The following is a 13,424-nucleotide window of genomic DNA, read 5'->3' on the forward strand; positions in this document are numbered from 1 at the left end:
AAGAGTCATGGGACAGGTTCTCACAGTCCTCAGAAGAAACCCACCATGTCAATACATCATTTTGGACTTCTAGTCTTCAGAACCGTAAGAAAATAAATTTTTGTTGTTCAAGCTACCCAATTTGTGGTACTTTGTTACAGCAGTCCTAGCAAACTAATACAAATGAGCTCTTAACACTGGTCTAAAATAGGATAATCCTATGAAATGCTACAAATGTTTGGGAAGATTTCTCATACTCAACTGTTTACAGTATACCACAAGCCTGTCAGTTGAAGATACAAACAGACCCTCTATAATCCTCTATACTTATATGCAAGGAACAGCACACTTTTTCTGCAAAAGGTCAGATAGTAAACATTTTAGGCTTTGTGGGCCAAACAAGGTTTCTGTTACATTTTTTTTTTATAACTCCTTAAAAATGTAAAAATCACCCTCATCCCAACGGACTACAGGAACAGACCTCAGGTCACATTTGACTCATAGCCTGACCCCTGGTGTGTAGGGTTAACAAGCCTCCTTTCCCTGGGCTCCTTTTTCTTTCAGCATTCCAAGCCAAAGGAAACTATCTTTTTCAAATCATTTTCTCTCCTAGGTGGGACATCTTACACCAGCCCAGGCATGCTTCCGATAGCCTTAGAGTAGCTGTCCCTTCCTCAGAATTACTGTCTAATTGGCTAGAAGTTAGCAACTTTTTACATTTTTCCTTCAATTCCTTTCCATTAAGAAGAAGGCATGCACCGGCAAATTACTTGTGACTATCAATGACATACTCTCAGAAGCACCAGTACCCCTGTGTTGTTTCTAAACCCATTCTAATAGACACATACCCCAAGGTTATGCTGTTTGTCATCTCACAAAATGACTTACATCTAGAGATTTAAATAATTAATGTACTTTTCATAACTACCAGGTACAGTAGATCTGATAATGGCAGAGCTAAGCACATATACAGAAAGTAGGGCAAGGGCCAGAGACTCATTTTAAAGCAATGTTACAAGATCGTCACTGTTGCTTTTCATTTTTCTAAATGTGGCCACTGCTGTTTTCTCACTAAAGGAAATGTTTTATGTAAAGTGAATAACAGTACCTGGCATAAAATAAGTGCTCAATAAATGTTAAGGCCTTCTCTCCCTCTTCAACTGGCCTCCTCATTTTTCACAAAGTGAAATAGAAAAACAACATGGAAGATAATCCTGTTGCTTAGGAAAAATAACTAAAGCTTGCTAGACAAAATACACCTGAAAATATAGGAAGTGAGCTATAGCTGGCCTATATGCATGTATGTTGGAACAGGACAAGATAGTGTAGGGTGGGGTGAAGAGGACAGAGAAATGGAAGGAAAGGGGCTACAGCCTTGGTGGCAAAATAAAGGATAAGACGACTCTTTTAAAATGGTCTATTTCAAATGCTGGGTTGTGAAACTTAATTTGATTACTTCATGAGAAACAGCATCTATAATCCATCCCTGATTTTTCTACAACAAAAATTTATTATTTATTTTATGTTTGTGTGTAGATCTTTTATATATATACATGTACACACGTATATGTATATATTATATATGCATATGCATATATATGTGTATATACATATATAATATATTGTGTGTGTATGTGTGTGTATATATAATTTTTTTAAAGGAATGGGGTCTCACTATGTTGCCCAGGCTGGACTTGAACTCCTGGGCTCAAGCAATCCTCCACCTCAGCCTCCCAAGTAGCAACCAACAGTTTTAGTTTTGAAAAAATAACAAATATTAAACACCCATGTGTAAGGGTTGGTACTGGGCCCTGTGTTAGTTTGCATGGGCTGTCGTAACGTAACACTACAGGCCGGGCACAACGGCTCACGCCTGTAATCCCAGTACTTTATGAGGCCAAGGTGGGCGGATCACCTGAGGTCAGGAGTTTGAGACCAGTCTGACCAACATGGAGAAACCCCGTCTCTACTAAAAATACAAAATTAGCCATGTGTGGTGGCTCATGCCTGTAATCCCAGCTACTTGGGAGACTGAGGCAGGAGAATCGCTTGAACCTGGGAGGCGGAGGTTGTGATGAGCTGAGATCAGGCCATTGTACTCCAGCCTGGGCAACAAGAGCAAAACTCTGTCTCAAAAACAAAAAAACAAAAACAAAAAAACCCTGATAACACTACAGACTGGGTAGCTGGACCAACAGAAATTTATTTTCTCACAGTTCTGGAGGCTGGAAATCTAAGATAAAGTTGTTGGCTGGTTTGGTTTCTGAGGCCTCTCTCCTTAACTTGCAGATGGCTGCTTTCTTGAAATGTCCTCACATAGCTGTCCCTCTGTCTGTTTCTGGTGTCTCCCCACGTATCCAAATTTCCTCTTCTTATAAAGATACTAGTCATATTGGATTAGGGTCCACCATAAAGACCTCATTTAAACTTAATCACCTTTTTACGGCCCTGTGTCCAAATACAGTCACATTCCGAGTTCCAGGGGATTAGGGCTTCAACCTATGAATTGGGGGTGGGGCACAATTCAGCCCGTAACAGGCCTAGACCTTAATTTGTCAACACTACAGTTAGATTTATAGTATAGTAACTGCATCTGTGCTCATCTAAATGTCATACCCAAATGAAATAATATAGCATGATGATCTGAATTTATTAAAGGCAATTTTTCCTATAGAAACCCAAATCTATAAATTATATACAAACTGTGGTAAGTTACTCGATACCTTGCCAGGACTCATCTATGGTGGTAGATAGACCACAAAGAGTACCACTGAAAGATCCCTTTCCTAATCACAGTTTCCTCACTGGCTTGCCACAAAACCTAAAATTCTTCTATTCTTTCATTGGCAATTTATTTCCCCTGAAAATGTAAATAATCTCTGGCAGAGCAATCTATTAAGTGATCATCAGCCACTAACACCTTAGGGTAGAACAGCTCAGATCACAGTCTTAAAATAAATTCCATCAGTATGAAATTTTCTTTATTACTGCTCCGCTACTGGAATGTTAGATCACTGTCTGCTTTAATAATAATTCTGGTGTAGGTCATTCAAATTTTGTTTAAGATAATAAGACAAATAGCAGGTATAAAAACATTCCGTCATCTAATAAAGCAACCCGAGAACAGTAAGAAGAACGTGATGAAATTAACATTTTTGAGTACCTGCTAGGAATCAAGTATTCTGCTAGATATTTTAGAAATCATCTCAATTCAATCCTAAAAATTATTCTGTATAATAGTATAGGTTGAGTATTCCTAATCCAAAAATCTGAAGCTTTTTTTTTCCTGAGACGGAGTTTTGCTCTTGTTGACCAGGCTGGAGTGCAATGGCGCAATCCTGACTCACTGCAACCTCCGCCTCCTGGGTTCAAGTGATTAGGGATACTCAACTGGCTAAATATAATGCAAATATTTCAAAATCTGAAAAAACCCAAATCTGAAACACTTCTGGTCCCAAACATTTCAGGCAAGGGACACTCAAGTTGTATTAATCCCATTTTACAGAAGAAGAAACAGGCTCAGATAAATGAACATCTCAGAGCTTGTTGATAGCAAAGGAGAGATTGAAACTGTCAGGCCTCTGATCCCAAGCCAAGCCATCACTTCCCCTGTGACTTGCATGTATACATCCAGATGGCCTGAAGTAACTGAAGATCCACAAAAGAAGTAAAAATAACCTTAACTAATGACATTCTACCACTGTGATTTGTTTCTGCCCCACCCTCACTGATCAATGTACTTTGTAATCTCCGCCACCCTTAAGAAGGTTCTTTATAATTTCCCCCACCCTTAAGAAGGTTCTTTGTAATTCTCCCCACCCTTGAGAATGTAATTTGTGAGATCCACCGCTGCCCGCAAAACATTGCTCTTAACTTCACCACCTATCCCAAAACCTATAAGAAGTAATGATAATCCACCACCCTTTGCTGACTCTCTTTTCTGACTCAGCCCGCCTGCACCCAGGTGAAATAAATAGCCATGTTGCTCACACAAAGCCTGTTTGGTGTCTCTTCACATGGACACGCATGAAAGAAACCCTACCTGGTTCTGTGTCTTACCTGTTGGGGGCCTGTGGTCAAACTACTAGTACGGAGTTTTAGTGTCCTCACTTTAAAAATGAGGGTTGTGGCCGGGCGCGGTGGCTCACGCCTGTAATCCCAGCACTTTGGGAGGCCGAGGCGGGCGGATCACGAGGTCAAGAGATCGAGACCATCCCGGCTAAAACGGTGAAACCCCGTCTCTACTAAAAATACAAAAAAATTAGCCGGGCGTAGTGGCGGGCGCCTGTAGTCCCAGCTACTTGGGAGGCTGAGGCAGGAGAATGGCGTGAACCCGGGAGGCGGAGCTTGCAGTGAGCCGAGATCCCGCCACTGCACTCCAGCCTGGGCGACAGAGCGAGACTCCGTCTCAAAAAAAAAAAAAAAAAAAAAAAAAAAAAAAAAAAAAAAAAAATGAGGGTTGTAAGGTAACTACCTACTTTTTATAGCATTGTAGTGAAGTTGAAATGAATTAATCCACATATATTATAGTGTGGTAGAATGCAGCAGAACTGATGATGTATGACTTCTAAGACTAGTCCTTAAGAGACCTGCAGTTTTTGCTTTTGCCCTCTTGGAACACTCCTGTTGCCATGTTAAGAAAAACTCTGGGGAGACTATGAAGGAAGAGAGCATACTCGGGGCAGGGGGGTGAACAGGACGTGCACATGTACGAGCGTACAAGCCAGGTGACACCAGTACCACAGCCTCAGACATGTCACCGGGGATACCAGCACCACAGCCTCAGACATGTCACCGGGGACACCAGCACCACAGCCTCAGACATGTCACCGGGGACACCAGCACCACGGCCTCAGACATGTCACCCAGGGACACCAGCACCAGCACCACAGCCTCAGACATGTCATCGGGGACACCAGCCCCATGGTCTCAGACATGTCCCTGAGGCCCACTTAGACCCTTCAACCCCAGCCCAGCTGCTAACTGACTACAGCCACATGAACAGAACCAGGTGAGACCAGAGGAAACTTCCAGTCACCTACCAGATCATGACAAATAATAAACGATGTTTTTTAAACCACAAAGATTTGGAGCAGCATTTGTTACACAAAATTAGACAACTATTACAGTTCGACTAAAAACATGTTCATTTACAATACTAAATTAGAAGTGTAAGAATGGGAGAAAAACTTCATACTTTAAAAGTCATTTTTTCCTCCAAAAACTTCCAACTTTGAAAAACTGATTTTTATAATGCATAAAAATTAAAATAACCTTAGAATTTATATGAGTAGCATAGCCAGCTGGCTTTATTATCTGTTGTACTCAACACTTCAATAATCACTGATGTTTTAGAACTCTTCAGATTTAGAACTCTTGCCCTTGCTTTAGTCTGGTTTAAGCTAAATAATTGTTCTTCCTCAAGAACAAATGACCTTACCTCGTTTTGTTTTCCTTGTCTGAGAGAAACACATTAGCAGTCTCCCATCTTGTTTTTCCTTTTCCTGTCACCCAGGACAGAGGGCAGTGGTGTGATCACAGCTCTGCAGCACGACTTCCCCAGGTTCAGGTGATCCTCCCACCTCAGCCTCCCAAGGAGCTGGGACCACAGGCACATGCCACCACGTCCAGCTTAATTTTGTATTTTTTTGGTAGAGATCAGGTTTTGCCTTATTGCCCCAAGCTGATCTTGAATTCCTGGGCTGAAGCAATCTGCCTGCCCTGGCCTCTCCAAGTGTTAGGATTACAGGTATAAGCCACCGTGCAGCCTTATATTTTGTTTTAAATTTTCCTCTGTATTTTTCTCTCTGGCAAATTGTTTAGGGAGTTTCTTTAGTTTATCAGACTAAATTTCAAGGCTTTCCTTCCAATTTTGACATGTAAACAGTCCCTCATTTCTGCTTATCTAGTGATTATTCCCAAATCTGTGTTTACAGTCTAGCTGTCTCTCCTGAGATTAAGACTTGTTTCTCTAACTACCTGACGGCAGAATCTCCTCTTGGAAGTATCAAGGAGGCAGTTCAAAACTGAACTGGGCATTGGCTCCACTCCTTCTCCTTCTCTTTACTATTAATACCCTTTCTCTCCTTCTATATGACCACACTAAGTCTTATTTAGGCATCGTTTCTTCTGGGAGACCTTTGTAGAATCTCTGAGGTTATGTTAACATGCTAAGGTTTTCTTGACATTCTCAGATTGGGTTAGGTGAACTTTTAGCAACTTATCTTTTTACTAAAAAGTCATCCCTCAGTATCTGTGGGGAATTGGTTCTAGGACTCCCTAAGGATATCAAAATCTGCATGAGCAGCCCAGGTGAGACCAGCAGAAGCACTTTACAGTCACCTACAGGATCATGACAAATAATAAATCATGTTTAAGCCACAAAGTCCTTTACATAAAATGGTATAGTATTTGCATATAACCTACACATCTTCCTGTATCCTTTAAATCATCTCTAGTTTATAATACCTCATACGATGAAAATACTACGTAAATAGTTGTTATACTGTATTGTTTAGGGAATAATGACAAGGAAAAAAGTCCACGCGTGTTCAGAATAGATGCTTTTTTTTCTCGTCTAATATTATGGATCCACAGTTGGTTGAATCCACAGATGTGGAATCCATGGATACCAAGGAACGACTGTATGCATTTTGACAATTATACTTCTCATCTTACCATGCATTCAACAAACAGAACATGTAAAGCGGTGATAATGCTGTGATGAAAAATAAAGCAGGGGAAGAGGCTGCATCCATCTAGTGGAAACGATGCCCTTTTCAATCTGCACAAAGAGAAAAAGCTGCTCTCCAAGTTGGGGGGTGGGTGGGTCAGGTATGTAAATTGGTCAGGAAGGGATCTGTAGGCACTTACAGATTTGACGCTAATGAGATGGGAAGCCACAGGAAGGTTGTGAAGAAAAGACAAGACATGATCTGATTCATGTTTTGATCTGATACACTGGTTGCTAGATGGAGAATAAGCTGCATGGCGGTGAGAGGAAGCAGAAACAATAGGAGGGTAATGCTATAATCCAGTGGTCCATAATCCAATATCCCCCCAAGGAACAGTTCGGCAATGTCTGGTGACATTTCTGGCTGTCACAACTGTTGGGGCGGAGTGCTACTTGCATCTAGCAGGTAGAAGCTAGGGATGCTACTAAACATCCTACAATGCACAAGACAGCCCTTCCCCCAACATTGCTGGCCCAAAACGTTGATAGTACCAAGGCTGAGAAACTCTGTTATAATCTGTCCTAGAATGTAGCTTGGATTGAGATGGCAGTGGTAAGAGCTGGAGAAGTGCTTAGCTTCCCAATGTTTTTTTGTTTGTTTGTTTTTGAGACGGAGTCTCGCTCTGTCGCCCGGGCTGGAGTGCAGTGGCGTGATCTCGGCTCACTGCAAGCTCTGCCTCCTGGGTTCACGCCATTCTCCCACCTCAGCCTCCCGAGTAGCTGGGACTACGGGCGCGTGCCACCACACCCAGCTAATTTTTTTGTATTTTTAGTACAGACAGGGTTTCACCATGTTAGCCAGGATGGTCTCCATCTCCTGATCCCGTGATCCACCCACCTCGGCCTCCCAAAGTGCTGGGATTGCAGGCGTGAGCCACCGCGCCCGGCCTGAATGTTTTTAAAGTACTGGTGACCATATTCGCTGAGGGATTAAATGTAAGGTATGAGGGGAAAATAGGAATCAGACACCAGGGTTTACTGCCTGAGCAATGAGAAGAACGACGTTCCTCATACGGAGATGAGGAAGAATGTGGAATAGCAGGTAAATAGCATGTGCTTGCTTTGTTTGGGGCTGTGCAGAAGAGACTGATGGGACCAACGTGCTCAGTTCTGGATATATTAAACTTGGAATGCCTATTTGGCACCAAGTGAATGTATCAGGTAGGCAGATGGATAAATGAGTCTGAAGTTCAGGGGAGAGGCTGGGGTGGCAATATGAACTTGGGAGTCTCCACATCTGAATAGTATTTAAAGCTATACAACAGGATAAGGTGATTTAGGAACTAAACACAAATTGAGACGAGATCCGAGCCCAGAGGCACTCCGATGTTTAAAAAAGAGGAGGAACCATCAAAAGATACTAAGGAGAAGCCAAGAAGTAGGAGAACTGAGAGTCTGAGAGAATCATTATACTCATTTGATCGACTGCAACAAATGCTGCTTAGAGGTCAAGCAAAATGAGGACTAAGCAAGGACCACCAGGTCTGGCAACATGGAGGCCAATGCCGACGTGGAAATGAGAGTTTTGGTGGGAAGACAGGAATAAAAGTCTCACAGGTCTGAATTCAAGAGAGAGAACAGCAGAAGAAGGGTAGAGGTGGTAGCCATAAACAATGATACATTCTCTTGAGGCCTTTTCTTGCAAAGCTCAGTGAAGAAACATGGTTCCAGAGAGGGATTTTTTTTTCTCTCATTTTACATATGCAAACATATAAAAAAGCTGAAAGAATTGTTTGACAACCACCCTTATTCTTACCACAGATTCAACATTTAATGCCATATGTTTTCCCTGTATGTACTGTGTATTGTTTGAGGATAACTTCCCCTCTAAATATACCTCGGATGTATCTCCTAAAATAAGTCCATTCTCCTACATAGCCATAGTAACCATGAACACACCTAGGAAAATTAAAAATATATTCTCAAATATATTATATAGCTGGGTATATTACAATTTCCCCAATATGTGATTTGCAAACCAGGATCAAGTCAAAGTCCATGCACAGCATTTGGTTGTCATGTGTCTTTGGTCTCTATTAATAATGATGACTGTTTGAAAAGACCTGTCCTATAGAATAAATTTGACTGATTATGTCATGCCATTGAACTTGTTTTTCTATTCTAGAAGGATAGTTTTTTAGGGTAGTGAATACATTTATTACTCTTGGCACAATAGTCTAACATTTCCCAATTTCCTTATATCTCTGCCCTTTCATTTTCAGAAAATCAATTATTCCAAGATTTGTTTTTCATTTATCATCACTTATTAGCTCTGAAGACTCAACTGAGCAACTTTCAGGGTTTATATACCCTATATTCAGAAAAAAACTACTACCATCTCTCATTTACCCTAAGAATTCATAGGAGAGCATGTCTTAAAGCTGATCAATAACCAAACCAAACATTTTATTGATCATATTACATTTGGAAAGCAAAATGAATTTCCTAAAATTTCTTCCCTGATTAGCAAAATAGTGCCTCCGAACACTTGAGGGTGAAAGTTGTTGTCAAATATGCCTACATGACTGGAAATTATGACATCCAAATGAGTTCACTGGGTCTGATAATAATATGCTCTACATGCTTATGTCTATGTAATAAACAGCTTACATCTGGATGAGAAAATTGATTATACAAATATTTGGGCTTCTACAACTGGTCACTCATCTGTAAGTACTTAAAGCAACTTAAAATGCAAACTGACCTAACAATGCTTATGGTTAGAATTCCAAAGAATGTTTAGGCATTGTCAGGTTATGTTAAAACATCTTCTGCCACAATCTTCAAGTGATTTATCTTTTCTGTTGTGTTGAATAGCTATAGAAGACAAATGAATTCTGCACTCCTGAATTCAATGAACATTTCAAGTTTCCTCACTTACACTGTAAGATTACGTAGCATATTTTAAGAAATAAATTATAATCATTTTATTTCACTTATTGAACTTCTTTTAAGCTTTGGCATTAGAATTTTAATCAAAGCACTGCCACTTGCTTACAGTGATGGTTTTTAGGCTCTTTGGGCCTATGGACTATTTCAATGACCTTCACTAGCCATCTAGTCCACCTTATCCTAATTATTACCACTGCAAAAGAAACCCTCACTTGAATAAATCAGTAGATGGGCATGAGGCACCTCCCAGGAGACTATAATTATTAACTCATACTAAAATCAAAATTGTAGCTATTATCACTCATATGGTTTGGCTCTGTGTCTCCACCCAAATCTCATCTTGAATTGTAATCCCCACGTGTCAAAGGAGAAGCCTGGTGCGAAAGGACTGGATCATGGGGGCGGCCTTCCCCCTTGCTGTTCTTGTGAAAGAGTTCTCCGATGGTTTAAACGCATGGGACTTCCTCCTACTTGCTCGCTCTCTTCTGCCACCATGTAAGATGTGCCTTGCTTCCCCTTTGCCTTCTGCCATGATTTTAAGTTTCCTGAGGCCTCCCCAGCCATGCAGAAATGTGAGTCAATTAAACCTCTTTTCTTTGTAAATTACCCAGTCTCAGGTAGTTCTTTACAGCAGTGTGAAAATAGACTAATACAATCACCTTATGGTAAGTCTGTCTATAAATCACCTGAACTTTCACAGACTATCTAGAAGAACATGTAACCAGAGTAGTTCTTGATCATGCTATATAAATTACTGATACAGAAATAGAGCTAGACAGGAAGGGGCTGGTAGTAGAGAATCATCCTCTGGACATATTCTCACAGCCTAATCTCTAGCTAGCAAATTTTATAATATATATAAAAATACAATTATTTCACAAAATTACCATGAAACGATTTTATTGGGATATTAGACATTACTGAATTACTTGTTCTGTGAGGTATACAGTGAAATTAACATGTTATAAAATTGTGGTAGCCGGCCCCCAAGATGGCCTCCAATGAATCCTTCACCTCTTGGTATTCATACCTTTGTGTAGGTAGGTCTGTGTAACCCATAGAATACAGCACAGTGACAGTAGGTCACTTCCGAGGTTAGGTTGTGAAAGACACTGTGGTTTCTGCCTCTCTCTCAGATCACGTGCTCTGGGGGAAAAGCCAGGTGTCATTTTGTGAAGACACTCAAGCAGCCTTTAGATGACTGCAACCACATAAGAGGCTCCGAACTGGAGCCACTCAGCTAAACCACTCCCAGATTCCTGACCATGTATCATTTCATACACAATGTATGAAATGACAAATGTCTGTTGTTTTAAGCTGTTTGGGGAATAATTTGTTACATAACAAAATATAACTAATACAATAATACATACTGATTTAACTGAAGTTGTAACTTCATAACTTATTTAGGTACTAAAAATCACAGCAACCCGATGCAAAGTACTAAAAAAAAAATCCATTAATACCTATTGAGTACTGTTGAGGGCATGAGGAAAGCTCTTTCATACTCCACATAAAACTTCCTTACCGTAATATTCATGGCTGACCTCTACTCTTAACTCCTTTCTAGGATAGGAGGGGCTAACTGATCTGACAGCAAGTTTGGGAGAAAAAATTCTGAGGCTCGGCCAACTTCCTCTCTTCTTTCCATTTGGGATTTGGCTGACTGAAGAGGGTCATTTGTTTTGGCCTGCTCTCTTACACAGTAAATGTAGTGGGACAAGCTCTATTCTTGTTGATAGAAAAACTCGAATTTTAAATCTGCCTAGTTCTTTGCAGCTCGTTGTTGCTCCAAATCTCAGCTACCTTTTGAAACAACTTTTTTCAGTAAACTTAATTTCAATCTTCATGTGATTTAACTGGATCCAAACACAGGCAGATAAAAAAGGTGGGGCATTACTTATCAACCTCTAAACTAAGTTTAATTTTGTGCCCTCATGGAGTTTATAGTATATTTGAGGTTTAAACTAAAACACCTGGTTTTAAACAGAAACTATAAAAAACACGATTAATAGGTGAGGCCGGGCGCGGCGGCTCACGCCTGTAATCCCAGCACTTGGGGAGGCCAAGGCGGGTGGATCACGAGGTCAGGAGATCAAGACCATCCTGGCTAACACGGTGTGAAACCCCGTCTCTACTAAAAATACAAAAAATTAGCCCGGCGTAGTGGTGGGAGCCTGTAGTCCCAGCTACTCAGGACGCTGAGGCAGGAGAATGGCGTGAACCCGGAAGGCGGAGCTTGCAGTGAGCCATTGCGCCACTGCACTCCAGCCTGGGTGACAGAGCCAGACTCCGTCTCAAAAAAACAAACAAACAAAAAACAAATAGGTGAAAGGCCGTGATCATTGGTAAGCGTAAGAAAATCTGAGGGAGAAAAAAATATAGATGCCCAGGCCCCATGCCAAACTCATGGAATCATGCATGAAACCCAAGCAGCTGCAGTTTTAACAAGTTCCCAATATATAGTTGACCCCTGAACAATGCAGGTTTGAACTGCCTGGGTCCACTTATAAAATGGATTTGATTTTTTTCAATAAAAGTTACACCGAGTGTGCCTGCCTCTCCTCCCTCCCTCCCTACATGCTCCTGCTCTTAAGCCTCTGCCATGAGGCTTAAGACAGCAAGAACAACCCGTCCTGTTTATTTCAATAGTTTTGGGGGGTGCAGGTGGTTTTTGGTTACATGGATAAGTTCTTTAGTGGTGATTTCTGAGATTTTAGTGCAACTGTCACCTGAGCAGTGTACACTGTATCCAACATGTAGTCTTTTAACCCCCATCCAACCTTCTTCCCCAACCCGAATCCCCAAAGTCCACTGTATGATTCTTATGCCTCTGTGTTTTTATAGCTTAGCTCCCACTTTTAAGTGAGAACATACCATTTTTGGTTTCCCATTCCTGAGCTACTTCACTTAGAATACTGGCCTCCAGCTCCATCCAAATTGCTGCAAAAGATATTATTTCGTTCCTTTGTATGGATGAATAGTATTCCACGATGTACATAAACATTTTCTTTATCCACTCAGCTCCTCTTCAGTCTACTCAATGTGAAGGTGACAAGGACGAAGATCTTTATGATGATCCATTTCCACTTAATGATTAGTAAATATACTTACTTTTCCTTATGATTTTCTTAGTAACTTTTTTTCTCTAACTTACTTTATTGTAAGAATACAGTATATAACACATATGACATACAAAATACGTTAGTCAACAATATATGCTATCAGTAAACTTCCAGTCATCAGTGGGCTATTAGCAGCTACGTTTTTTGGGCAGTCAAAAGCATGGGGAAGGAGAGGGTGGTCCCTAACCCCTGTGTTGCTCAAGGGTCAATTGTAATAATACCCATTTAAGAATCCATGGTATATATGGTAAGTGCAACAACTCTAGAAGAGAGTGCTAGGAGTTGGAAAAGGAAAGAGAAAACAGAATTTAAAGCAATCTGTAAAGGACATGCAGGGTTTAGATGAGGTGGAAGGGTGAGGGAAAACCAACATCTGCTGTGAGGGCATATTAACTGCCAGACATTGTTCTATGTCTTACCTCATTTAAGAGAATTTCATTTCACACATGGAAAAACTGAAGCCCAGAGAGGTTAAATAATTTGCCTGAGGCCAAAATTAGTTAAATAACAGAAGTGGGATTAGTAGATGTTTTCATTTTATCAGTGAAACTGAGCCTCAGGGAGGTTAAATATTTTGTATGAAGTAACAAAACTGAGATTAATATATGGCCAAGTTTAAATGAGATCTGTAAATCTAATGCCTACACTAAAACAAAAAAAAAAAAGTGGGAAGAAAAGGTCTATATTGCTTAGCA

General features: G+C 40.7%; 1 protein-coding gene across 2 annotated transcripts in view, besides 1 other annotated feature; it reads right to left on the minus strand.

Annotated features, from left to right (window-relative positions):
* Positions 1-13,424, minus strand: part of HMGB1 (high mobility group box 1) — a 160,894-nt gene that overhangs the window by 140,653 nt on the left and 6,817 nt on the right.
* Positions 10,543-10,602: an enhancer, noted in NCBI's record as "active region_7537". NCBI's record gives its function as "activates an Ori minimal core promoter by ATAC-STARR-seq in GM12878 lymphoblastoid cells {active_cell/tissue: GM12878}" and the evidence as "EXISTENCE:reporter gene assay evidence [ECO:0000049][PMID:35858748]".

Source organism: Homo sapiens, chromosome 13 (genome assembly GCF_000001405.40).
Source record: "Homo sapiens chromosome 13, GRCh38.p14 Primary Assembly".
Lineage (NCBI taxonomy): Eukaryota > Metazoa > Chordata > Mammalia > Primates > Hominidae > Homo > Homo sapiens.